General features: G+C 37.4%; 1 long non-coding RNA gene across 1 annotated transcript in view; it reads left to right on the top strand.

The window, feature by feature from the left end:
* Positions 1-26,836, top strand: part of ZRANB2-DT (ZRANB2 divergent transcript) — a 156,400-nt gene extending 129,564 nt beyond the window's left edge. Inside the window, exons 3-4 of the long non-coding RNA NR_046217.1 lie at positions 12,170-12,227; positions 26,243-26,836. This is a non-coding gene — a long non-coding RNA (ZRANB2 divergent transcript). The remainder of the gene's footprint in view (positions 1-12,169; positions 12,228-26,242) is intronic.
* Positions 26,837-27,739: the final 903 nt, after the last annotated feature.

The raw sequence follows: 27,739 nt of genomic DNA on the forward strand, positions 1-27,739 counted from the left end.
GTGAATTTGTCACAAAGAAGAGGCTCAATAAATATTTGTTGACAGAAGGAATTCCAGAAGCACAGTGACACATGTTGTGGTATTTCTTTTTGCTGGTTATTTGGAGAGATAATGGTTGGAACAGCCGGTAGCTAGGCAGTCAGCATGCAAAAATACAGAAAAAAATGTGGAAAATCTATTCCTTATAGCATAGAAGATGATTTAAAAAAATGTAATCATGACAAATTTTGAGCTCATCTTTATTTTTTTGGAATTTCAAAGGCTTCTGATATTCCATTGTGTTCATCTTCACACATCTATCTTTGTTCTGAATGAGGTTATCTTTAATAGATTTTGTTCGGGGGGCTGGGGAGTAGCAAAGACAGTCTGTTGTTTTCTGAACCACTTTATGCCAGAAAAATCTGCAAATATCATGCTAAGATATAATAGTTTGTTTTCTTGCCAGGTGGTTAGGTTTCATTCAACAGTGGCATTTTATTAGAAATGTACTATCACAGATAATTTCCAGAAGGGCATTTGAAATGGATTATTATATGGAAAGGGAATTTTTAAATACCCAGCTCTGTACCTAAAACTCCTGGATAAAATAGCAAGAGCGTAGTTGGTCTAATGGGACCACTTAAAATTCTGTGTTGCAAAGTGCTCCTAAAGACAACTTTAAGTTCTCTCATAATTCTGGGTTGCACCCACTCAGTCTGCTAGTTTTAATCATGTTGCAGGGAGGCTATTTGACAATTGAGTAGTAATGAGGTTTAGTGTACATTTTATTTAACCTTCTACCAGGTAGGCCAATTAAAATGTTACATCTGAAAAAGCACATATTCCAATTTCTGCCTAGGGATATAATACATTAACTTGCATTTGGACATACTTTTGCTTTATACCCTTCATTAATGACATCTACCAATTTATTCTTTGCGCTGTTTGCTCTCCTCCTCAAGGCCCAGTGATAGATAATAAACCTCAAACCATAGATTTAATCCCACAAAAGATAGTTGGTATTCACTACACAGAACATTAAAGACATACCTTGCCCGTGCTCATGCTTTGGCTAGCCATTTTTCAATTATGGCCAAAAAAGAAAAAGTGAGATTGGATGGATTTTTTTCTAAAGCACCCTTTTCTTTCTGAAGAAAAGACATCAAACAGCCTGATCAAGAGGTAAATATTACGGTTACCAGAACCCTTTCTTAGTAACTATGGTTTTCCTATAATCCCAGAGTAAGGTAAAGAAAAATGAACCAATCTGGATCACAGAATCTTAGGAAAGTCTAGTGTCTTCATAATGTCACCAGCATTATAAAAACAAACAACAAATTAAGCCCAATTCTAAAGTACCTAATTTTTTTCCATTACATATTTCTTTTCCATAACATATGACTTTTTTAAACAGAAAAAAATATAGAATTAAACAATTTTAAGTAAAAGTTTAGACAGAACAATCATGTGACTGGTTAGGGACACAAAGAAAGGGATGGAGGAAGCTGAATATGATATGACTTCGCTATATCACGCATTGTTACTAGAATTCCACTGTGCCATGTACAAAATCATGTCAGTTTGAGAACTATCAATCACGTGGTCTATTTGGCAAATTTTGGATCTGCCCTTCAATTTTGGGCAGTCAGCTCAGGCTGCCATAATAAAACATCACAGACTTCGTGGCTTAAATTATAGAAATTTGTTTTCTCCTAGTTCTAAAGCCTGGAAAGTCCATGATCAAGGTTCTGGGCAGGGTTTGAACTCTGGTGAAGGCTTTCTTTCCAGCTTGCACACAGCCACTTTTGTCCCCATGCGGCCTTTTCTCTGAGTGTGCATCTCTCTCTTCCTCTTTCTATAAAGACATCAGTCCTATTGGATTAGGGTTCCATCCTATGACCTTCTAATGACACCATCTTCCTAATTACCTTCTAATGACACTATCTCCAAATATAGTTACATTGGTTGTTAGGGCTTCAACATATAAATTTTAGGGGGACAGTATTCCATCCATAGCTGGCACTAAGAAAGATGAAGAAAGATTAATAGAATTTAAGAACTGATGTACAGCCATGTGTAGCAGCAGGGCTATGAATGTAGAAGATAGAGCTTATGTAAACCTATTCATTTTCTTACTGAGCAGTTGAAATTAGAATCCCAAATTCAACTAAACATTTTTTAAAGGAATATGTTACTGCTGAATCAAAAGAAAATAAATTACATATGAAGATGAAGATGCACCATCCAGACCCTCCTTCAAGAAAGTACTTGTTGCTGAGCTGCTGGGAATGCCATCTGAAGACAGACTTTGGGGTCAGCTCCTGCAAGAATTGCTTTAGTTGTAGACAGCCCCTCTCCCAAGGCTACATTCTTCTTAGGACAGCCGGTATCCAAAGACAGATTGAGGCAAGAGTATTACGAGATTGTTATTTCGACACAGTGTGTGACAGCTCTAAGGAGCCATTTTAACTCGAGTTCCTATTATGGTTGTCTGGACCCGTCATTGGGCCCACAACCCTACCACTTCACCCTCCATTCTGAGGTTGTTAATCCCATAGCACACTTTAACAAACATCCTGCACACTATACCTCATCTCAACCTGTAATAGCTTAGGATCCAGTTTCATATTATTTAAAAACATTACAAAAGATGATCAAAAGCAAAAGAATGATACTGTTTTTAAGTATATTGACAACTAATCTTGCATCCTGATTCATTTGACCCATCACTGTTTCCAATAATTTCTATTTTCTAAAGTACAAATATGTGTGTGTATAATTTTTTCAAAAATTGTTTATCTGTTTTTTGACTAAATCATAGTCTTTTTTCCATGTCAGCACATAGTTTTACAGTACATAGACAGTTTCAACCTTCTTTTTGCCCCATTTTTTTTCACCCTAATTGAGGTAAAATTAGCAAACAAAAATTGTGTATATTCAAGGTGTACAAAATGATGTTTTGCTATGCATATACATTATGTAATGATTACCACACAAGCTAATTTACATATCCATCACTTCACATAGTTACCTGTGTGTGTGATCTACTCTCTTAGCACATTTTGAGCATAAAATATATTACTATTAACTGTGGTCATCATGCTGTAAATTAGGTATCCAGAACTTATTCATGTTAGAACTGCAAGTTTGTACTTTCACTAAAATCTCCTCTTCCCCTCCTCACTCCAGCTACTGCTGGTAACTACTCTTCTACTCTCTGTTTCTATGAGTTCGACTTTTTTAGATTCCATATATAAGCGAGATTATACAGCATTTGTCTTCCTGTGTCTGGCTCATTTCACCTAGCATAATGTCCTCCAGGTTCATCTACATTGTCACAAATGTTAGAATTTACTTCATATTTAAGGCTGAATACTGTTCTTGTGTGTGTGTGTGTGTGCATATACATATATTTGTATGTACATGCCTACATATATACATACCAAATTTTCCTTATTCATTCATTTACTTATAAATATTTAGGCTGTCTCCATATCTTGACTATTGGTGAATAATGCAGCAGTGAACATGTGAGTGCAGCTATTTAAAAAAAATTTTTTTATTTCAATAGCTTTTGGGGAGCCAGTGGTTTTTGGTTACATGGATAAGTTATTTAGTGGTGATTTCTGAAATTTTATTGCACTTATCACCTGAGCAGTGTACACTGTACCCAAAATGTAGTCTTAATCCTCACCCTCCACTTCCCACTTTTCCCCCTGAGTCCCCAAAGTCCAGTCTATAATTCTCATGCCTTTGCATCCTCGGAGCTTAACTTCCACTTATAAGTGAGAACATACAATATTTGATTCTCCATTCCTAAGTTACTTCACTTAGAATAATGGTCTCCAATTCCATCCAAGTTGCTGCAAAGGCCATTATTTAGTTCCATTTTATGGCGAAGTAGTATTCCATGGTGTATATATACCATATTTTCTTTATCCACTCGTTGGTTGATGGGCACTTAGGTTGGTTCCATATTTTTGCAATTGTGGATTATGCTGCTATAAACATGCATGTGCCTGAGTTTTTTCACATAATGGCTTCTTTTCCTTTGGGTATTTGGGTAGCTATTTTGTTGAGATAGTGATTTTATTTCCTTTGGCTATATACCCAGAAGTGAGATTACTGTATCATATGGTATTTCTATTTTTAATTTTTTGGAAGAACCTCTCTACTGAAATAATGTACTGATTATAGCTGCATGTCTCTTTTAGTCTTTAGTATATTTTAATTCAGTCCTCTGCCCTTTTAGGAGGGTGGAGGGTGCTTTCATGACATTATGATTTTTGAAGAGTCAAAACCAGTTTTTCTATAGAATGACCTTCAATTCAGATTTGGTTGATTGTTTCTTCATAATTAGTTAATATTACATCGATGACATTACATCCTTCAATGTATATTATATCAAGAGCCATGGATTATGTCAGTTTTCCCCATTGATAATGTTACTGTTCACTAGACATCACCATTTTAAAGGCCCCTTTCAAGAAGAAAATGTTGATGAAGATTTATATAGGTTAAAACTCCTCCTTTCTCACTGAAACAATTTCTTTGTTTTTACACATCAGCTTATTTCCCAAAACCATACTAATCCACATCACATGACAAATGATGGGGACAGTATCAAAAGATCTGGGGAAAGTAATTTGAAAACGTGACATACAGTCTCAGCTTGAAAATGTTTGTCTTTAAAAAATACCAACCAGTAATCTTATCTTCTTATTGTGGCCTTTTGTCATTTTATGCCATATAGTGTCTACTCAAAAATACTTGGAAAACTTTGCTCAAGGATCTGAAGTCTCTCCTCACCTCTTGTCTTCTAAGATACTGCTTCTATCTCTGTGTGTCCTCTTTAATATCTAATAAAACTAAAGTGGATCAGATGATCAACAGCATTACATAAATTCTATATATCAGATGAGGAAAAGTGAAGGTAAACCCAAAAAGCTAAGAAACAATGTAAGGGAGGAGCTAAGATGGCCGAAAAGGAACAGCTCCGGTCTACAGCTCCCAGCGTGAGCGACGCAGAAGATGGGTGATTTCTGCATTTCCATCTGAGCTTTGAAGAGAGCAGTGGTTCTCCCAGCACGCAGCTGGAGATCTGAGAATGGGCAGACTGCCTCCTCAAGTGGGTCCCTGACCCCTGACCCCCGAGCAGCCTAACTGGGAGGCACCCCCCAGCAGGGGCAGACTGACACCTCACATGGCTGGGTACTCCAACACACCTGCAGCTGAGGGTCCTGTCTGTTAGAAGGAAAACTAACTAACAGAAAGGACATCCACACCAAAAACCCATCTGTACATCACCATCATCAAAGACCAAAAGTAGATAAAACCACAAAGATGGGGAAAAAACAGAGCAGAAAAACTGGAAACTCTAAAAAGCAGAGCGCCTCTCCTCCTCCAAAGGAACGCAGTTCCTCACCAGCAACGGAACAAAGCTGGACGGAGAATGACTTTGACGAGCTGAGAGAAGAAGGCTTCAGACGATCAAATTACTCTGAGCTACGGGAGGAAATTCAAACCAAAGGCAAAGAAGTTGAAAACTTTGAAAAAAGTTTAGAAGAATGTATAACTAGAATAACCAATACAGAGAAGTGCTTAAAGGAGCTGATGGAGCTGAAAACCAAGGCTCGAGAACTACCTGAAGAATGCAGAAGCCTCAGGAGCCGATGCGATCAACTGGAAGAAAGGGTATCAGCGATGGAAGATGAAGTGAATGAAATGAAGTGAGAAGGGAAGTTTAGAGAAAAAAGAATAAAAAGAAATGAGCAAAGCCTTCAAGAAATATGGGACTAGTGAAAAGACCAAATCTACGTCTGATTGGTGTACCTGAAAGTGACGGGGAGAATGGAACCAAGTTGGAAAACACTCTGCAGGATATCATCCAGGAGAACTTCCCCAATCTAGCAAGGCAGGCCAACATTCAGATTCAGGAAATACAGAGAACTCCACAAAGATACTCCTCGAGAAGAGCAACTCCAAGACACATAATTGTCAGATTCACCAAAGTTGAAATGAAGGAAAAAATGTTAAGGGCAGCCAGAGAGAAAGGTCGGGTTACCCACAAAGGGAAGCCCATCAGACTAACAGCGGATCTCTCGGCAGAAACTCTACAAGCCAGAAGAGAGTGGGGGCCAATATTCAACATTCTTACAGAAAAGAATTTTCAACCCAGAATTTCATATCCAGCCAAACTAAGCTTCATAAGTGAAGGAGAAATAAAATCCTTTACAGACAAGCAAATGCTGAGAGATTTTGTCACCACCAGGCCTGCCCTAAAAGAGCTCCTGAAGGAAGCACTAAACATGGAAAGGAAAAACCGGTACCAGCCGCTGCAAAATCATGCCAAAATGTAAAGACCATCGAGACTAGGAAGAAACTGCATGAACTAACGAGCAAAATAACCAGCTAACATCATAATGACAGGATCAAATTCACACATAACAATATTAACTTTAAATGTAAACAGACTAAATGCTCCAATTAAAAGACACAGACTGGCAAATTGGATAAAGAGTCAAGACCCATCAGTGTGCTGTATTCAGGAAAGCCATCTCACGTGCAGAGACACACATAGGCTCAAAATAAAAGGATGGAGGAAGATCTACCAAGCAAATGGAAAACAAAAAAAGGCAGGGGTTGCAATCCTAGTCTCTGATAAAAGAGACTTTAAACCAACAAAGATCAAAAGAGACAAAGAAGGCCATTACATAATGGTAAAGGGATCAATTCAAGAAGAAGAGATAACTATCCTAAATATATATGCACCCAATACAGGAGCACCCAGATTCATAAAGCAAGTCCTGAGCGACCTACAAAGAGACTTAGACTCCCACACATTAATAATGGGAGACTTTAACACCCCACTGTCAACATTAGACAGATCAACGAGACAGAAAGTCAACAAGGATACCCAGGAATTGAACTCAGCTCTGCACCAAGCAGACCTAATAGACATCTACAGAACTCTTCACCCCAAATAAACAGAATATACATTTTTTTCAGCACCACACCACACCTATTCCAAAATTGACCACATACTTGGAAGTAAAGCTCTCCTCAGCAAATGTAAAAGAACAGAAATTATAACAAACTATCTCTCAGACCACAGTGCAATCAAACTAGAACTCAGGATTAAGAATCTCACTCAAAACCGCTCAACTACATGGAAACTGAACAACCTGCTCCTGAATGACTACTGAGTACATAACGAAATGAAGGCAGAAATAAAGATGTTCTTTAAAACCAATGAGAACAAAGACACAACATACCAGAATCTCTGGGACACATTCAAAGCAGTGTGTAGAGGGAAATTTATAGCACTAAATGCCCACAAGAGAAGGCAGAAAAGATCCAAAATTGACACCCTAACATCACAATTAAAAGAACTAGAAAAGCAAGAGCAAACACATTCAAAAGCTAGCAGAAGGCAAGAAATAACTAAAATCAGAGCAGAACTGAAGGAAATAGAGACACAAAAAACCCTTCAAAAAATTAATGAATCCAGGAGCTGGTTTTTTGAAAGGATCGACAAAATTGATAGACCGCTAGCAAGACTAATAAAGAAAAAAAGAGAGAAGAATCAGATAGACGCAATAAAAAATGATAAAGGGGATATCACCACCGATCCCACAGAAATACAAACTACCATCAGAGAATACTACAAACACCTCTATGCAAATAAACTAGAAAATCTAGAAGAAATGGATAAATTCCTGGACACATACACCCTGCCAAGACTAAACCAGGAAGAAGTTGAATCTCTGAATAGACCAATAACAGGATCTGAAATTGTGGCAATAATCAATAGCTTACCAACCAAAAAGAGCCCAGGACCAGATGGATTCACAGCCGAATTCTACGAGAGGCACAAGGAGGAACTGGTACCATTCCTTCTGAAACTATTCCAATCAATAGAAAAAGAGGGAATCATCCCTAACTCATTTTATGAGGCCAGCATCATCCTGATACCAAAGCCGGGCAGAGACACAACAAAAAAAGAGAATTTAGACCAATATCCTTGATGAACATTGATGCAAAAATCCTCAATAAAGTACTGGCAAACCGAATCCAGCAGCACATCAAAAAGCTTATCCACCATGATCAAGTGGGCTTCATCCCTGGGATGCAAGGCTGGTTCAATATATGCAAATCAATAAATGTAATCCAGCATATAAACAGAACCAAAAACAAAAACCACATGATTATCTCAATAGATGCAGAAAAGGCCTTTGACAAAATTCAACAACCCTTCATGCTAAAAACTCTCAAGAAATTACGTATTGATGGGACGTATCTCAAAATAATAAGAGCTATCTATGACAAACCCACAGCCAATATCATACTGAATGGGCAAAAACTGGAAGCATTCCCTTTGAAAACTGGCACAAGACAGGGATGCCCTCTCTCACCACTCCTATTCAACATAGTGTTGGAAGTTCTGGCCAGGGCAGTTAGGCAGGAGAAGGAAATAAATGGTATTCAATTAGGAAAAGAGGAAGTCAAATTGTCCCTGTTTGCAGACGACATGATTGTATATCTAGAAAACCCCATTGTCTCAGCCCAAAATCTCCTTAAGCTGATAAGCAACTTCAGCAAAGTCTCAGGATACAAAATCAATGCAGAAAAATCACAAGCCTTCTTATACACCAACAACAGACAAACAGAGAGCCAAATCATGAGTGAACTCCCATTCACAATTGCTTCAAAGAGAATAAAATACCTAGGAATCCAACTTACAGGGGATGTGATGGACCTCTTCAAGGAGAACTACAAACCACTGCTGAAGGAAATAAAAGAGGATACAAACAAATGGAAGAACATTCCATGCTCATGGGTAGGAAGAATCAATATCGTGAAAATGGCCATACTGTCCAAGTAACTTATAGATTCAATGCCATCCCCATCAAGCTACCAATGACTTTCTTCACATAATTGGAAAAAACTACTTTAAAGTTCATATGGAACCAAAAAAGAGCCTGCATCGCCAAGTCAATCCTAAGCCAAAAGAACGAAGCTGGAGGCATCACGCTACCTGACTTCAAACTATACTACAAGGCTACAGTAACCAAAACAGCATGTTACTGGTACCAAAACAGAGTTATAGATCAATGGAACAGAACAGAGCCCTCAGAAATAACGCCACATATCACAACTATCTGATCTTTGACAAACCTGAGAAAAACAAGCAATGGGAAAGGATTCCCTATTTAATAAATGGTGCTGGGAAAACTGGCTAGCCATATGTAGAAAGCTGAAACTGGATCCCTTCCTTACACCTTATACAAAAATCAATTCAAGATGGATTAAAGATTTAAACGTTAGACCTAAAACCATAAAAACCCTAGAAGAAAACCTAGGCATTACCATTCAGGACATAGGCATGGGCAAGGACTTAATGTCTAAACCACCAAAAGCAATGGCAACAAAAGCCAAAATTGACAAATGGGATCTAATTAAACTAAAGAGCCTCTGCACAGCAAAAGAAACTACCATCAGAGTGAACAGGCAACCTACAAAATGGGAGAAAATTTTCGCAACCTACTCATCTGACAAAGGGCTAATATCCAGCATCTACAATGAACTCAAACAAATTTACAAGAAAAAAACAAACAACGCCATCAAAAAGTGGGCGAAGGACATGAACAGACACTTCTCAAAAGAAGACATTTATGCAGCCAAAAACCACATGAAAAAATGCTCACCATCACTGGCCATCAGGGAAATGCAAATCAAAACCACAATGACATACCATCTCACACCAGTTAGAATGGCAATCATTAAAAAGTCAGGAAACAACAGGTGCTGGAGAGGATGTGGAGAAATAGGAACACTTTTACACTGTTGGTGGGACTGTAAACTAGTTCAATCATTGTGGAAGTCAGTGTGGCGATTCCTCAGGGATCTGGAACTAGAAATACCATTTGACCCAGCCATCCCATTACTGGGTATATACCCAAAGGACTATAAATCATGCTGCTATAAAGACACATGCACACATATGTTTATTGCGGCATTATTCACAATAGCAAAGACTTGGAACCAAGCCAAATGTCCAACAATGATAGACTGGATTAAGAAAATATGGCACATATACACCATGGAATACTATGCAGCCATAAAAAATGATGAGTTCACATCCTTTGTAGGGACATGGATGAAATTGGAAATCATCATTCTCAGTAAACTATCACAAGAACAAAAAACCAAACACCACATATTCTCACTCATAGGTGGGAATTGAACAATGAGAACACGTGGACACAGGAAGGGGAACATCACACTCTGGGGACTGTTGTGGGGTGGTGGGAGGGGGGAGGGATAGCATTGGGAGATATACCTAATGCTAGATGACGAGTTAGTGGGTGCAGTGCACCAGCATGGCACATGTATACATATGTAACTAACCTGCACATTGTGCACATGTACCCTAAAACTTAAAGTATAATAATAATAAATTAAAAAAATAAAAAAAAAGAAAGAAACAATGTAATGCAGATTAGCACCAGATGGGCCCTCCAAAGTTAGAAAAATGAAGGGTGTTAGAAGGTACATTGAAAAGGGAAATGAAAAAAGGAGAGAGGCACAAATGAAAGCAAACTAACTCCAAGTTTCTGTGAATAGCTCATCCCAAATCCAGTAGCATATTTCTCTTTTAATACTAGAATCAGCCAATTTTGGTTTGAAATTCTGGCTCTTTTCTTTCATCACTGTTTGATCCCAGGTAAGTTACCTAATTAATCTCCCTAAGCCTTATTTTCCTCATCCAGTAAATGAGAATAATAACACCTATACTGCATAATCATTGTAAGGATTAATTATATTGAGTGCTCAATTCCTAATTTTCCATAGCTATTAAACAAATGGTATCTGTTGTTATAACTATCACTATGAACCTTTTTATGGTGCTTTGCAGTGTATAGACAATATTCCTATCAGACATTATCTGATTCAATTATTGCAAAAAACATTTACAGATAAGAAATGGAGGGTCAGTAAGATAAGCAAAATTAGTAAATTTTCAAGTCACATGTTGAAAAACATTTGGTTTTGGGAACCAAAACCCAAGTCTATTGATTTTTAACTAACATTTTCTTCACTATACCATGATAAGTTAAGAGTGAAGCAATAGTGCTATCTTCCTGCAAGAAAAAAGTATAATTATTCTTAAGTCTCTAAAGTAGATGAATAAATAGAAGTTGCATAGTTTATATAATGGTAATATTAATTAATGGAAAATGTGTACTCCAAATCAAAGAAAAGAAACCACTAAATGGAATTGTAAGAAACAGTATTTCTTAGAAACAAAATGACTATCAACTTTTCCTCATAGAAGACATTATTCTCAAATATATGTCTGAAGGCTAAACCATTGTTCCTTTGTCTTTTTTAAGAGCTACAACAAAATAGATTTTATAAACATGATTATCAGATGTTCTAGCACTATTTGGCATGACTTCATGCTTGTTATAGAATTAATTGTTCTTTCTAGTTGGCTTGGTGGGCACTTGTTTATACTCAGATGAATTAATTAATTATGCAAATGATCAATTGTACAACTATTTTAATATATAAACTCTGTGCTAGTCTGTGCCTGTATGAAATGACTTGTGTCTATGTGATGTTTAATCTATTGAAATATGTGAATAAAAACATATAAATAAATCATATAAATATTAATTGAGTTCTACTGTATGCCTTATACTGTGCTTGGCTGCAGATTAACAACAACATGTAGTTGCCCTCAAAGAGATTGCAGTTTGCTGGAAGAAAAAAATGAAGAGACAAAAAATATCATGTAATGTACACCAATGAAATTTAATAAAGTCTAGTTTGTGATATAGGTCACAAAAATAACAAAAACACGTATTTCAGGGTTCTGTTTCTTTTTCTGAAAATAGCTGAGGGGAGACAGTGAGGATTAGGCATCTTCAGAACAGCTCTCTAGCTCTGTGGATCAACCACTGTGCTGAGTCATGGGCCTCTGGGTACTCCCCTGCCTGTGGTCTTGTTCCTTGGAGTTGGTTTCCTGTAGAGTCAGCAGAAATGACTTCTAATCCAAGGCCACCTTGCTCTTAGTCAAGGGGCTTTTGAAAGAGTTGTGTCAAAGTATATGCCATGGGCCTTGTAGGGTAAACTGATAAATATATATATCGTTTTTTTAAACCAAGTTTTTCCTCTTAATTAGGTGGCTTTTCTACAATATAAAGATGGAAATGGGAAGAAGATGTTCATTGCAAATTAAGGTAATGTTCAGAGGCTATAAAAATGTGATCGGATACTTGGACAAAGGCAGTCCCTTTTGTGTGACTTTTTGTCTCTGATCATTTGCTATTTTAAGCCATCATAATCATCGGATTCCTATATTACACTTATTTATGGTTTATAAAGTATTTTCATGCATTACTTTTTCTAATACGACACTGTGAAATAGAATGAGTATTCTATTCTCCTTTGACAAATGGGGAAACTGAGACATCACAAATTTATTTAATTTAATATCACATAGCGTATAAAGGCTGATCTGAGCATAAAACTCTATTATTCAGGCTCTAAAATTATTGCTTCTTTGACTCCAAAACACCAGTTTTATGCTGTGCCATCCCAAGTATTATGGTGCCTTTTCCTCTGCTCTTTTTTTTCTTCTTCTACTCTCCTCTCCTTCTCTCTATTTCTTTTATTTCTGTCTCTTCCTTTTTTCTCACTACATTCTCCATGCCCCATTCTTTGTCTTTCATTTCCTTTCAAGCCTATGAGGGGCAGGAGTCTGGCAGCCAAAGCAACAAAGAACCACTTCCACGGAAAAAGAGTAATGAGAAGTAACATGGGCTTTTATATATTAACAGTTCTTGCAAACAGTAACCAATTTCCAATGTTATTTTCTGTCTGCTCCCGCCCATTTTTGAGTGAGTCCAAAACAAGGCCAACTAGGAACATCTGTGTATAAAGCATAACAAAAATAACATGTGTCACGTATGTGACGATGATACAAGAATGACTTTATTGCTTGTGCTTTTATAACTACAGTCTAAGAAGGATAACTGGGAAGTGGGAGATGGAACAGAAAAGTCATCTTAAGCACAGTATTTCCATTCCTCTTTTCTAGACTGAGGTAATACGCCTTCTACTTCCACTAACTTTTTGTTTCTGCCTCTTTAAAACATTTGTTGAGATTTGTATTTGAAACTCTTTTTGGAAATAACTGGAACATGCACTTACTTCAGTAACATGCAGAACATTCAGTCCCCAACTCTCCAGAGTTCCAGAATGGCCCCTTTTGGAGTTTACAACTCATCCACCCATCTGTGCATTTGTTCCCCAGAGACCAGAGCGAAGCCAACAAAGATGAAAGTCTTTGCGAGTCTGTGCTTTTGAACATTAAACTACTGGATCTGGAGTCAGAAAAATTCTGCATTACAGATTTAAGATCTCCCTTTAGTATTTTGTGACCTTGATAAAAAAAAAAAAAGCCACTTAATTTCTCTGCAATTTCCTTACCTGCAAAATGAAGAGACTGGACTAGAACAGACCCCTATGATTTTAAGATATTGTAGGAATAGCTTGTGTTTCCAATGCCCTGAAATGCTGAAAAAAAAATGCAGAAGGCCACTTGGGTAGATGGAAATCACTTTCCAGTTTATTTTTCACTGATTTTTACAATAACATTATAATAGAACAGATGTTTTTAAGGATTAATGAGTGATAGATATAAATTGCCATAATAATATTGCTTTACTGTTTTCATCCTGGTTCATTAACTGTCATTAGAGCTACCATGTGACTTGTATTTTGCATGTTCTGTGATGTAATCATCTAGTAGCTGTATTCCTTCCTCCACCAAAGGGTCCCCAAGCCTACCATTTGAATCAATGGAGGTGTGAAATTCATTTCCAGATAATCTCTTTAGGAGATCACAAGGTCATTGGTTCTCATCAAGAATATGGATGAGGAAAACAAGATACTAGAATAGAGCAAGAAAAAGAGAAGCCAATTCCCACTGCTCCCTGAAGTTTAAATAGTTCCCCTGTGATTTCAACCTCAGTTCTGTTCTGCTTTTAATTTAAAACCATTCTCTACCAGGCAACTGATTTTTGCTAGTCTCTTGGGTGATTTTCTAAGACAGATTTCACTGTATTCTACCCTTGTGTGTGCACTTAGCTCCCATTAGCAGTAATGGGTGTTATGCATGTATAGCTCCCATTAACAATAATGGAAATTATGCATGTGCATCCAGAGGAAAGGATGCTCCCCAATGTTGGAATTTTTTCCGAAGGAAAAGTACTCCTTATGCAGCATTTGGCTTTTGTTTTAGGCTCTTTATTGTGGTGACGATTTGTGCTGCAGAGAATGAACATGGTGTGAAAGACTGCCAGCTTCCCCGTGTGCAATCTGTACAGTATTTTTTAAAATCTTGTCTTATAATTTTTTGCGTGACTAAAACAACAGTCAGGCAACAGTCAGGAAAAACTTGTTAAAGAGGTAAAATAGATCCAGATCAATTAATAAAGGGTCATGAATGGGGGCTAAATAAGTCTCTTACAGCTAGGAATTCTGGTAGGTAATGTCACCTGTTTCAAGATAACAAAGAGTAGATTTGTACAGATGGAAAAAATAATCCTTTAAAAATAACCAAGTGCTATTTATGCAGACCATAATAACATTCCTCCAGATGAATGTGTCTTAACCCGAAGAGACAATTTTTATCATAACACATTGATAAAAAATGGTAGGCCAAAGGTGATATTATAAGGGGCTGTGAATCATTGGCATATTAATTTTAGAACAAATTGTGCAAAAAAGAATCTTTAATATGAAGTCAAGAATATGATTCATCTTCATCTTTATGAGTGGTAGAATACATTTAATACTTGAAATGTTTTTGAATTGTCAAAGTGAGGGTCTAAGTAATTTATCTCTTCTGAGAGTGCCTTTTGCTGAATATCCAGTATTATTGTTCATTTGTAAGATAAACTTGTCTGTGTCTAGTCTTGGACAACCCCTGACAATGCTTGGTGATGAATAAAGTCAGACTCTGTGTAAGAGTTGGGTTTTGATAGTAAGAGTGAGGCATATAAAAAGCCCTGGAGTGTTTAAGAGCACAAGCTTTGGGGAGAGATCCACCTGCATTTAAATGCTGACCCTGTCACCTGGGAATTTATTTTACTTCTCTGAGCCCAAGTTACCTCGTATGTAAAATGAGAATCATAATTCTTATCTTGTAGTTGTGAGGATTAAACAAGATCTAAAATTGCATTACCAGAACTATTATTAACAATTATTAATCTATTTAGGGAAATAAAATTTGACAGTACTAGATGTCAAAACATTTCTCTAGCCATATCATGTGGACCAGTATCAAATTATCTCAAATCTGTTGTGTAATTTAAATACGATCTATTTTTTATTATTTAACAATAAACATGCCTGTCATAACCTGTACTTCTATTTTTAGGGGAAGAATAAACATAACAATATTCTCAGGAAAAGAACCCCAAATACACAGGTTGACATCTACTTTATTTTTCATACTAACCAAACTTAAATCATTATAAACTTTAAATTTTTTTAAAAACATACAGCTACACAATTTTTCTGAAAGTGATGAGAACTCATATTTTCTTTTTCTTGTTTCCTTAGCATTATGATATTTAATGTGCAAAAATTTATAAGCAAGGAACTTCTTTGCAAAGTTTATACATACATTCTTACTGTTGCTGTCTTGATAATGCAACATCATGTAAAAATATAGATTTTACCCATTAATTTCATAGATTAGCTAGTCACTTAGCATATTGCTTTGGAGGGACAGACTATCTGTGTGATTAGGGCATACCTAATCAATCTCCCTACACCTTGATTCTTCATCTGCAAAATTAGAAAAGTAGTGTTAACTTCATCAGGTTGTTTTCAGAGTAAATACATTAACATATAACATATGTGGTGTTGACAAGTTGATTCTCCCAGGAAGGTCTTGAGAATGGAGAGAGCAGCCTTAAGAAGGAACCACAGCTGTAGGCTATGGGAAGCCAGCACTGCAGAGAGGTACTTTGCTCCTGAGGAAACACTGGGGTGGGAAACTAAGTGATGATGAGAATGCGGAGGATTCTATGAGGCGATAAAGGATGTATATTTTGCTGATTGCTCAGATTTTCCTGGGAACAGTGATATGGATTGGCTTTGTGTCCCCATCAAAATCTCATCTCCAATTGTAATTCCCACATGTCAAGAGAGGGACCTGGTGGGAGGTGATTGGATCATGGAAGTGGCTTCCCCTATGCTGTTCTCATGATAGTGAGGCAGTGCTCATGAGATCTGATGGTTTAGTTCCTACTCACTGTCTCTCTTCTGCCACTATGAAGAGGGTACTTTGCTTCCCCTTCACCTTCCGCCATGATTGTAAGTTTCCTGAGGCCTCCCCAGCCATGCAGAACTGTGAGTCAATTAAACCTCCTTTCTTTGTAAATTACCCAGTCTCAGGTAGTATCTTTATAGCAATGTGAGAAGAGAGTAATACAGATAGCATAGCCAGCTGTAATTAGTACGTGCCTTGGTTCTTTTCAGAGAGATTTGCCCTGATGCTAACAGGTGAAGCTTATTTCCAAAAGATATCCTCTGTTTTGTCCTAGGATAGATGTTGAATTACAATTTTATCATGGCCAATGACTACATTAAACAATTCCCCCTTTAATGCCTGATTTTTGGAAAGATTCATTTTTTTAAAACAGAAAAATTGCATTAATGATTGGGGTCCTCATTTTTGTGACATGTGTATCTGTTAATCAGGATTTGTGATTATGTCTAGATAGAGTTTCCACAGAGTTGATATAATTTGTCTTAATTTTTTTAAAAAAGGAATTATCTAGAGTTTTTTTTTACTAAATATTTAATTTAGATTTTATTATTTATTTTTGAAACAGTGAACATAGCTCGTGGACCCCTTGAGGATCTATGAACTTGAACTTGTTACTATTGCTTATATATCACTACGTATAAAATCTGTGCATGCTGATTTGCTGAGGTTCCGATAGAGCCATTGGGTAACTAATAATCAGTATCCCAAAGACTCTCTATCCTCTTATTACTTTCTTTTTCTTTTATAGCACTTATTACCACCTGCACCTATATGTTTTGCTTTTGTTCCTTGTCTGTCACTGTGAGAGCAGTGACTTTGTCTATTGTTCTTACTGCTGTATCTCTGTGACCTAGATCATTGTCTGGCATACAGTAGGTCCTCAATACCTGCTTGTTGAATGAAGTAGTTGATAATTGCTTCTTTTCAATAGCTACATTCTCCTGTATCAATGCAATGGGAGAAACAGGAGGTTTCTGTGTGGTTCTGTCTGCAAGATAGGCAGCATGGTACTGCGTACCAACTCCATCTCTTCGGCAAAAGATGTAGGTGTGAGCCCAACCTTTTCCATGAGCTATTTTGGCACGTCAGTTAATCTCTCTGAGCCTTGGATTTTGGATCTGTGTGAAGGGGATAATAATACTACTCTCACAGGTTGCAGTAAAGATGAAGCATGATAATATATATCCTACTGTTTCGTGGACTGCAAATCTTAGCTGTTACTAGCATATGGCATCACTGGAAAAAATGAGACATTTGGGACATCGTCCAAATAGTTGTGCTCTGCCTCTAAAAGCTATATGAGCTTGGGGCAAATCTCTTAACTTTTCTAGGTCTCAATTTCTTCACCTGCAAGAGAGTTGTTATTAATGATCCCAAATGTGCATCCAGCTATGAAAATCCATGTCACTAAAGACTACATTTTTCTTTTCACATTCCTTCCTGTGGTTAGGGATCATATAGGTGTTCCTACAATTTCTATGAAAATGCCATAAAAGAGATTTAACATCAGGTGTTTGCTTCATTTTCTTATCACCATTAGGCATTGTCCTACTTAGCGTGACAAATTCACTGCCTAACAGTGCTCATGTTTTCAGTATCTTTTACTACAGCCGCCCCAAGTAGCTACAAGGAGCACCTTTCCCCGCATAATTACTACTGTTGACGTGAGACAGCACATTTGACAGAGGCGGCTTGCTGTGTTGGCAGGAAGGGTGCCGAGTTATCCTGGAATCTGGCCTTTCACATTCACATTATTCTGCCTTTGGAAGAAGGTGCCCTCCACCCCTCACTAAATGTGAGAAAGAAAACTGCTTTGCCTGTACAGAACACTCTATTTACAGAGACTTTCTGAGGGGATTATGACAGCCATGGGCTGGATTTATGGGTGAGCTGTGCTTACCAGGTCACATCTTACATCGCAGGCTGATGAAACTCACTGTTCATGTTAACCGTCTGTGCTCTCTACACGGAGTGGAGCCCGTGCCTTCCCCTAGGAATCAGGAACGGAGGGCTGGGGAAGCTTCTGCTTTGCATTGAGGAGCTTGATAGCATGCAGCGGGATGCTGTTCTTAGGAAAGGAAACTTCCTTTAGGGCAACTTTTTTCCCCCCACATAGCAGATGTAGAATTCCTCTGTACCTGTTTAAAATCCTTGTTGGGGTTGCTAAACAGCAGATATACATGAAGCTATTGGGAACTAGGAGTGAATGTGGGCAGAACAATGCCTGGGTGGGTAGCTACACATTGGATTTTGGTGTGATAGGCGGAGTGACAGAGACTGCAAAGATCAACTGGTCTTCAAGTACCTTATATTTCAATTTAATAAAATGTTTTAAGGCTTGCCATAATCTCATTCCAATTTGTAGGTCTACTCTTTCCCACTTTTCCCCAGAATATGTACTTAATTCCAATCAGGCAAATCTTACAGTCTTTAATAAGTCACATTCAAGTTCACCTGGTGTTACTTTGCTCATGTTATGCCTTTGGTCTAGAGAAATTCATCAAATTCTACTACTTCTTTTAAGTTACAGATCAAATGCTGCCTGTATCATTTGACCACAAAAAGCTATATAAATGTTTCCTTTCTCTGAACTATTACTATATTTTATGCTTACTTGTCAGATTTAACTCCCTCATAAATTATATAGCCCTTGATGTCAGAACAAAGGTATATACTTTTTCCAATTTCTCATGATCCTATGTGAATGTTGGAAATCTAGTCAGTTCACACAATTTTCTTGTTTTTTGTTTGCAAAATTCTAAATGGTTTTTAACAATTTTTTCTCCCGTATTAAAATGACAGTAGTTTTGATCTACAATACTGTGTCTTTTATTTTGAATTCTTCTTTTTCAATTTGTAAAGAGCCATGCACAGAGTCTAGCACAGGCTCTGGCATATACACGTGCTCAAGAAATGTTAGCTTTACCAACTCCACTTTCACTGGCTTTGTTTCTTGTGGCAGGTTGCTATGTCAACATAGAACATGTTTTATGCTTACTTCTTCCAAAACAGTTGCCCCCACATCCTTCTCCAAGGTCTTCAGAAAGAAGGGCAACCATAATTCATTTTCTTTCAGTCACTGTCTTCTTTCTTTGCCCCCTCACGATAATTCTTTCTGCTAGTCAGTATTATTTCCGGCATCTTCTAAATTTATTTTTCCCTTTAACCAATGTGCCAGCTTCTTTCCCCTGGAAATCTTCCATAATTAATGGACTGTTTATGCATAACCATAATATTATAAATGCCTTAAGAAAAACTATTATCAGTGATCATATAGTTGGGCATTTTTTGTGCATTTCTTTCCAAAATGGTGGCAAGATCTTTCAGTTATTGGGTTTCGTATATATAGAATGCATTCAAAGTCATTTGCTTAGATTTTCCTAATGCTTCCTAATCATTCTTAATTAATTTCAGATATAAATAGAATGTGACATTTTTCTGTTTAAAAAAATTTTATTTAGCACAAAAGTACGGCATGCAACAGCTGTTTGAAAAGAACCCAAAATGAAGAATTATAGCATCATGAACTGAAAGATTAATTATGTTTCTTATTAATTTGTTTTTGTTTTTGAAACTAGTTTGAATTTCTTCTAAAACTTGATATTTTTGGGAAAAGGACACAAGCTCTCTTAAAAAGTATTGTATTGTGGAATTAGATCCATGTGAGTTTCTGGCTCTGCCATTCCCTAATCAGATGACTTTAGACAATTTATTTAACTTCCCCGGGCCTCGCTTTTCTTGTATGTAGAATGGGTATAGAAGAGTTGCACCTACCTTTAAGATTTTTGAGTTTATTAAATTAAATAGTGTTTGTAGGAGACAACACAATGCTTGCCATATAGTAGACACTTGTTACAACTCTGGAGTGATTGTTTCAAACTTTTCTTATTTTATGGCATACCAATAATTTCCCAGGCACCTAACTTAGTCTGACATTATTTGTAGCTTTGTATTCACTGGAGCCTGCCAGCTGTAGCCCTTAGGAAGTTGCAGAACTGAGGCTCCATTAATTGAATTGTTTGCCAATGACTTAAGGGCTCCCCATGAAAACTAGACAGAAATGTGAGGAGGTTTAGCCATAAACAAAATATATAAAGGAGAAAATTAATTCATGGTGTCTATTGCCTTAGCATTTACTTTTTCTATCTCATTGTTTACAACTGTCATGTGCCTGGGTATGTGTGACAGCAGCTGTAATGGGATATGGCATTAATTCAGTTCACAGACATAAGTTTCAAGCATAATATGGTTACAGGTGGCCATGGTGATAAATAACAAGGGGCAGTTCAAGCAAAGAGTCAGAGAGCTCTAACATGGAGTACTTTTTACTCCATTTTATTTATTCATTCATTTATTCATTTTTATTCATCAAATATTTATTAAGGAACTTCTATGTTTCAGGCACCGGTCTAGGTGCCTGGGATATTTAAGCAAACAGAGGCAGAATTTCCTGTGGCAGAAGCTTAAAGTCTAGAAGAACAGAACAAAACAGAGTAAATATATAATCAAGTAGAACAGATACACAATCAAATAGAGCAAATATACAATAAATAGGACAGATACACAATATAATGATAGGAGAAGTATAGAAAGATAGAAGAGTATAGAGAGGAACCTACCTGATATATAAATGATGGAAGGTCTCCTTAAAGGAGTGCTATTTAAGCTGAATAGGCAATAGCAAGAGGGAAATGTATCTTGTTTCATGGAGAGGAAAGTATGTATGAAAAACCACAGGGGCTTGCGTGAGCATGCTGAGAATGAGGGCCTGCAAGGCAAGCTAACATTTTGTCACCCCTTAAAAAGGATATTTAAACAACTATTTATTCAATATTTATTTCTTGGGGCCAGGGAGAAATTGATTTTTCTATTAAGAAAAATTGTATGCAAAACACATTCACCTAGTAATTCACTTCAGCTGGGTCAAAGCAGAGTTTATTTTGTGGAATTATTTAGCAAAACGTTCCCCATTTTCTTCTCTTTCTTCAGTTTACGTGTGTTTTGAGCCAGAGAACTTCTTGGGAGGTGTACTAAAAAAGCAAAATTTAGATAATAAAATAAATGACTCATCCCTGATAAACAACACTATGCCACATATTATTTGGGTTTAGAAATTTAGCTTGCTGCCAACTTTCAGCTGTTACTCTAAATATATTTTGCAGAACTACTTAAGAAATCAATTTGTGTAGGGGATGGGAGAATATTTTTATTTACATTTGATAATGCTGACTCCCTTTCCAGGAGCAACATCAGTGTACATTTTGCATTAAACAAGGAGTTGGGCCGGGCGCAGTGGCTTGTCCCTGTAATCCCAGCACTTTGGGAGGCCGAGACGGGCAGATCATGAGGTCAGGAATTCAAGACCAGCCCAGCCAACATGATGAAACCACGTCTCTACTAAAAATACAAAAATTAGCTGAGCGTGGTGGCAGGCGCCTGTAATCCCAGCTACTGCAGAGGCTGATGCAAGAGAATCGCTTGAACCCAGGAGACAGAGGTTGCAGTGAGCTAAGATCGTGCCATTGCACTCTAGCCTGGGCGACAGGCAAGATTCAGTTTCAAAAACAAACAAACAAACAACAACAACAACAACAACCGAGGAGTTGGAGAGCCAAGTTAGTGAGCCTGATATTTCTAATGTGCTCTAATAAGGTGAGCACCCCAGCTGGTGCAACACCCAATCAGGTCCTTAAATAAATGACTGGAGCATAAAGTACGAAGGAAGAGTATGTGAGACGAGACTGAAAAGGTGAATGGGGGCCAGGCACAATGACTCATACCTGTAGTCTCAGCTACCCCAGGAGGCTGATGTGAGAGGATCACCAGAGCCCAGGAGTTCCAGGCTGCAGTGAGCCATGATCACGCCACTGCGTTACAGCCTGGGTGACAGAATGAGACTCTTGTCTGAAAAAAAAAAAAAAAGTAAATGGGGTTTAATTATGAGGGGCCTTGTATGATATATGAGGAGTTTTCAGTTTGTCTGTTAAAAAACGTGAGACCATGGAAGAGTCTTAAGCAAGAGAATGACAAGGCAAAATTTTTCGTCTAGAAAGATCTTTCTTGCCTCAGTGTGGACCAAAGCCTGGGAGAAAGACTTCAAAAAGGAAAATGCATTAATAGAATGTTGAAACGATTGAGGTGAGAAATGATAGTAGCTTGAATGATAGTGGCTTGAATTCCATCAGTAAGGATGCAAAAAAGTAGAGTTTAGGGAGTGTGTCAACACTCCCTAATACCAGAAATATTAGGGTAGGCATTATCAGGTGAACCTATTGTCAGGTAACGAAGCTCCATCCCCTAGAATGGAGTTCAAGGGCAGGACTACTCCAGTCCACGGTCACAAGGCATGAATGGTAATGGTGAGATAAGCTTTAATATCCAATATGTGAGGAATTATAGACCTCCAGGTAATTACAGTGGGGATCCTGGTGATGGAACTGACATGCCAGGTAGAGACCTTTTTAAGTAAAAGAGTATGAGAACAGGAGTGTGCGGGTGGGGGTGATAGTGAATGCTACAATTCAGTGAGGATGTGGATCTGTGAGAGAACTGTCTGAGGGTTTTCATGACACAGTCTTGTATCAACAGCTAGTTGGAAAGAATTTAAGAGACTAGAATGCTAATAGCTGATAATGGCATAATGTTTTACATATTCAGTTTTTGCCTTCCTCTGCACAGCAGTCAGAATTGTTAAATAGAAACCTGATCATGTATTCCTCTGCTTAAGACATTTGGGGGTTAGGGGTTGGATCAAGACCAAAACCTTCCTTATGGTTTACACAGCCCTGAGTATTCTAGCTCCTGGGTCACCTTTTGACCTCATCTTAAGGCATTCTCCTCTATCCCTAGGTTTCAGCCATCTGAGTCTTCGTCATTGTTTTAGTTTGTTTTGTTTAAAAATGTTAAACAATATTCTTCTTATTCCAAGACCTCCAGACATTCTGTTTTCTCTGCTTTAAAACTCTCTTCTCTTCCTTTCCATGTACTTTTAGATTTTAGCTTTAATGCTGCTTTCTCAGGAAAGTTCCCCTTGTTATATATTCTCATGCTAACCTTCACTTCTTTTTCATGACACTTATAATTATAATTAATCATTTCAGGAATAAGTACTCACATGTCTGTCTCCACAAATAAACTATAAACTTCAAGAGACGGAGAACTATGTATGCTTATTTGTTGTGCTATATCTTGTGGCTAGCACAGTGCCTGACATATATACACACACACACACACACACACACACACACACACACACACACACACACACACACATGATTAATAAATGTTTGTTAAATGAGTAGTTGAATCCATGGATTATTTTTATGTACGCTGTAGGTATGCCTTAATCCAAAGCATCAGTTTTCTAGTGGTAGCATTAAAGTCACCTAATAACAGAGAAACAAGCATCTTTGAATGGAAATGAGCCTTTCTAGTATCCTTTAAGTTATATTAATTAGGCAGTTACCTACTTTATTTAAGCAGAATGTTATCTTTGTTGAGCAAAAACCTAGTAGATAGAAAGAACAGAAATATACCTAAGCTAGTATGCTGAGGGAGGTAATCAGAGGGTAGGAGAGCTTGACCACTTAGTTTGAAGGAATGAGATCCATAAATACAGATCTTCCTAAGCAGAAGGAAGATATTTGAAAGACAGTTTTTTAAAATATTAATTGAAATTGTGAGTTGTTAATTTTTCTTCTTGAATTTTCCACCTCCTCTGTCCTTCATTCGAGCACATAACAAGTTCCCTACTTCCTTACCAGATGAAAGGTTTTTGGCAGGATTTTCTGGCTTCTGTTTGCCCACTGAGGATGATAGAATTTGAAGAGAGAGGAAATTGGTATCCCTGTGTGAAACCAAGAAAGACAGAAGGTTTCAAAAGAGAAAAAGAGCTTTCTCCAGGTTGGGGGTAAGGGACAGGTCTGCCTGTCCTTGAACAGAAGGGACTTTTACTTCTTCCCTGGAAGCACTCAAAAGTGTGGCAGGACATCAGGGAGCATATTCACATAGTTAACTAGGTAGGTTAGATGCCAAGCTTAGGTTCTCAGGCTTGTTCAAGATCCTCTTGAAGCACAAAGCATGGCATGGAAATGGCACACCAGTGAATCTGATGATATCACATGGCTGCAGCAAAATTCAGCTTTTACCAGTGTGGACAGATACCTCTAGTGATTAATGTCCTAATGCTTAGATATGGCGTAAAACCCAGAACCTCAGCACAAACCTGAAGGTGGGAAAAAGCCTAGAAATAACTGAGGTTGAATTTCTCACTAAGTTGATAGGAATAGCTACTCAGAATTGAAATTAAATGATTTACAGACAATAATGAAATGTAATTTTGCTTCAGATTTATACCTGCTACATTAAGCAAGTGAACAATAACAAAAAAGTTATATTAGTCTTCGCTTTCTAAGAGTATAGCTTATTTCTACTTAACAATTTTTAGAATTTTAAGTTGAGTTAAACTTGCAAAATATTTTCAGGAACTTAGCACTGAACTGTCTGCACTGAATCAACTGATCTCATCAATAATAGACAGCTCTTAACAGTACCTTAATGATAAGAGTAATAAAACCAAATTCATGGCCAAGTGCAGTAGTGTGTGCTTGTAGCCCCAGGTAGTTGGGAGGCTGAGGCAGGAGGATCACTTGACACTAAAAGTTCAAGTGCAACCTGGACAACACATTGAGACTCCCCCTCTTACACACACACACACACGGGCACACACACATCCTAATTCTAATTCACCATGCTGAACATGTCTATGGGGGCTACCCTTTTTATCTGGAAGAAAAAAAATTACACTGAGCACGAGTCTTCCAACAAAGAATGGATCTATTATCAGCTAAGAGTGACTATCTCAGTGAAACACAAAGGTATTACCTTAAGGCAGTCAGATCTATGTTCTCTGCTATAGGAATGTGCAAAGGCGATAAGCCTACTGTTAGGAGGAAGCTCATGAAAGGCTGGCAATATCAACTTATCTTTCCTTGGTGGAGAACTGATGGCAAACAAGTTAAATCTGGAAATCAGTATGTTGATTACTTATTTATTTGGCTTGATATTGAAATAAGCTTTTTCTATGTAATCATTCTTACTTGTGAATTCTTTTACTCTACTTTTTAAATTCTATTTTTTCAACAAATATTTATCGAGGCTCATTATATAAGCTAGACATTTAGTTAGGTGCTGTGGGAGACATAGAAATATATGAGCTACAGATTAAATACCCAAAGCATTTTTAACATCTAGAAAAATGATAACCCATGTACAAAAATGACTGTAACGCAAGGCAAGTAGTAAGTTTGTAAAAGACAGGAGAGAATGATATTGCTTCCTTTCCTTTTCCTTTCCTTTTCTCTCATCCTGTCTCCCTTTCCTTTCTCTTCTTTCCTCTTCTCTTCTATTTCATTTTCTTTCCATCAACACTGGTAAAGATGATGTATGAAACTGTCCTGAAAAAGTAGAAAATGCCAGGTTGGCAATTTCAGCCTCAGCTACCAACACTGGGTGTGCACACTGACAGTAGAATTTAGGGAGTGGCAAAGAGAGTGGGTTCTGTCAATTTATATGGAATAATGTTTCCCAAGGCAACCAGATGTGATTTTTTTTTGGCAAGTAAAAAGCCACACAGAAAGGCTGAGATGAGTTAAAATGAAGAAAGCAGGACCATTGGTACGTTGAAGCCAGCTCACATTATCAGAGATGCTTGTTGATTAATTAGGAATTTTGAAGCCAGTTGTAAAACTGTCGGTAGCTTGCAGTCAGCCTAATGGGAGTATGTACACCACAGAAATAGGTAACTACAATAAATTATGATTGTTTTAAGAACAGAAAGCTGTTTTACCAGTTCAACAATGGAAATAACACCAAGAGTTTTTTACCTTCTGATTTTCTTTTTATAAACAGGAAGCTCTTCCACGAGTTCACGAATGGAAATAACATCAAGAGTTTTTCATCTTCTTAGTGTGCAAGGTATGGATATTCTGTGTGTGAACTTCAAGAGTATCTAAGGGAGGCAATAACATGGTTGATAATATACCAGAGACTACAAACTGTCTGTGCATCCCAGAGGAACAGGAAGCTTGTGCAGGTGAAAAGACTGGAGGAGGAAGTATGTTGATGATACCCAGGAAGCCCACCTTCCACTTCTTTGGTCATCAGAAGTAAGAAAAAGGACAATTAAATAAGTGGTTAATAGTTGTTTAGAGAAAGAGAATTTTCACTTTATATGCCAGTCATTGATAATATTTGCCATAGTGGTTGCTGTTAAGTAAGTTTCTTCCTGCAGGCCTGTGAGAAGGCATAGTACATGAAAGTAGCAGTGCTTTCAACCTGATTATTATTATACAGTATGGACTTTTATTATATAACAAGCAATACTTACATTTTGTTATTTACTTATTTATTACTATACACTTACACATATGCAGACACAGTAATAAACATCTAAGTGGTACAAATAGGTACAAAACCAAAAATAAAAGTCTGCCTTCTAACTTCAGTAAGATGTTTCAGTCTCATCCTGGGTTCTACTGCCTTTAATATGCAATCAGCCACACTTCCCAAGGGGCTTTAGTCCCTTTTGTTAAAAAATAGTAATAAAGATCAAATCTAGGGGATAGAAGTAGAGATTTTAGTATTTTATATGAGAATTGGGGATGCAGCATGCTAATGAAGCCACCTGAGTTACAGGGCAGACTATTACTTTTCTTTTTAAATAACAGGTAACAATTCTATATTGTTATTTTCAATTTAACCAAGTTTTTATTTTAGCACTGAGAGTTTTTAATCTGATTTCTCCTTCCTCTGGTAGATTTGAGGTTATTTATTGTCACACCAAATAGCATTTTGTCTCCTATATTTAGAAGTCTTTTGTTTTTTTTTTTTTTTTTGAGATGGACTTTTGCTCTTGTTGCCCAGGCTGGAGTACAATGGCACGATTTCGGCTCACCACAACCTCCGCCTCCTGGGTTCAAGTGATTCTCTTGCCTCAGCCTCCTGAGTAGCTTGGATTACAGGCATGTGCCACCATGCCTGGCTAATTTTGTATTTTTAGTAGTGACGGGGTTTCTCCATGTTGGTCAGGCTGGTCTCGGACTCCCGACCTCAGGTGATCCACCTGCCTCAGCCTCCCAAAATGCTAGGATAGAAGTCTTTTCTTACTCTATTTTTGTCCCTTGCCTCAAGTACCCTAGAAGTGACTACCTACACAACTCCCCTTATCAGCATTTTAGAGGAAAGACTATCTGAAAAGTAAAATAAATTCTATCTTTTCTCACAGAATTATAAAGAATATACAGGCAAAAGACACCTAATATTTCATATGGAATGATAAACAATTTGAAGAAAAAAAGGACAAATCTTTGAGATTTAGCCTAAAACTATTTTTTAACTTTGAATTTC

Source organism: Homo sapiens, chromosome 1 (assembly GCF_000001405.40).
Source record: "Homo sapiens chromosome 1, GRCh38.p14 Primary Assembly".
Lineage (NCBI taxonomy): Eukaryota > Metazoa > Chordata > Mammalia > Primates > Hominidae > Homo > Homo sapiens.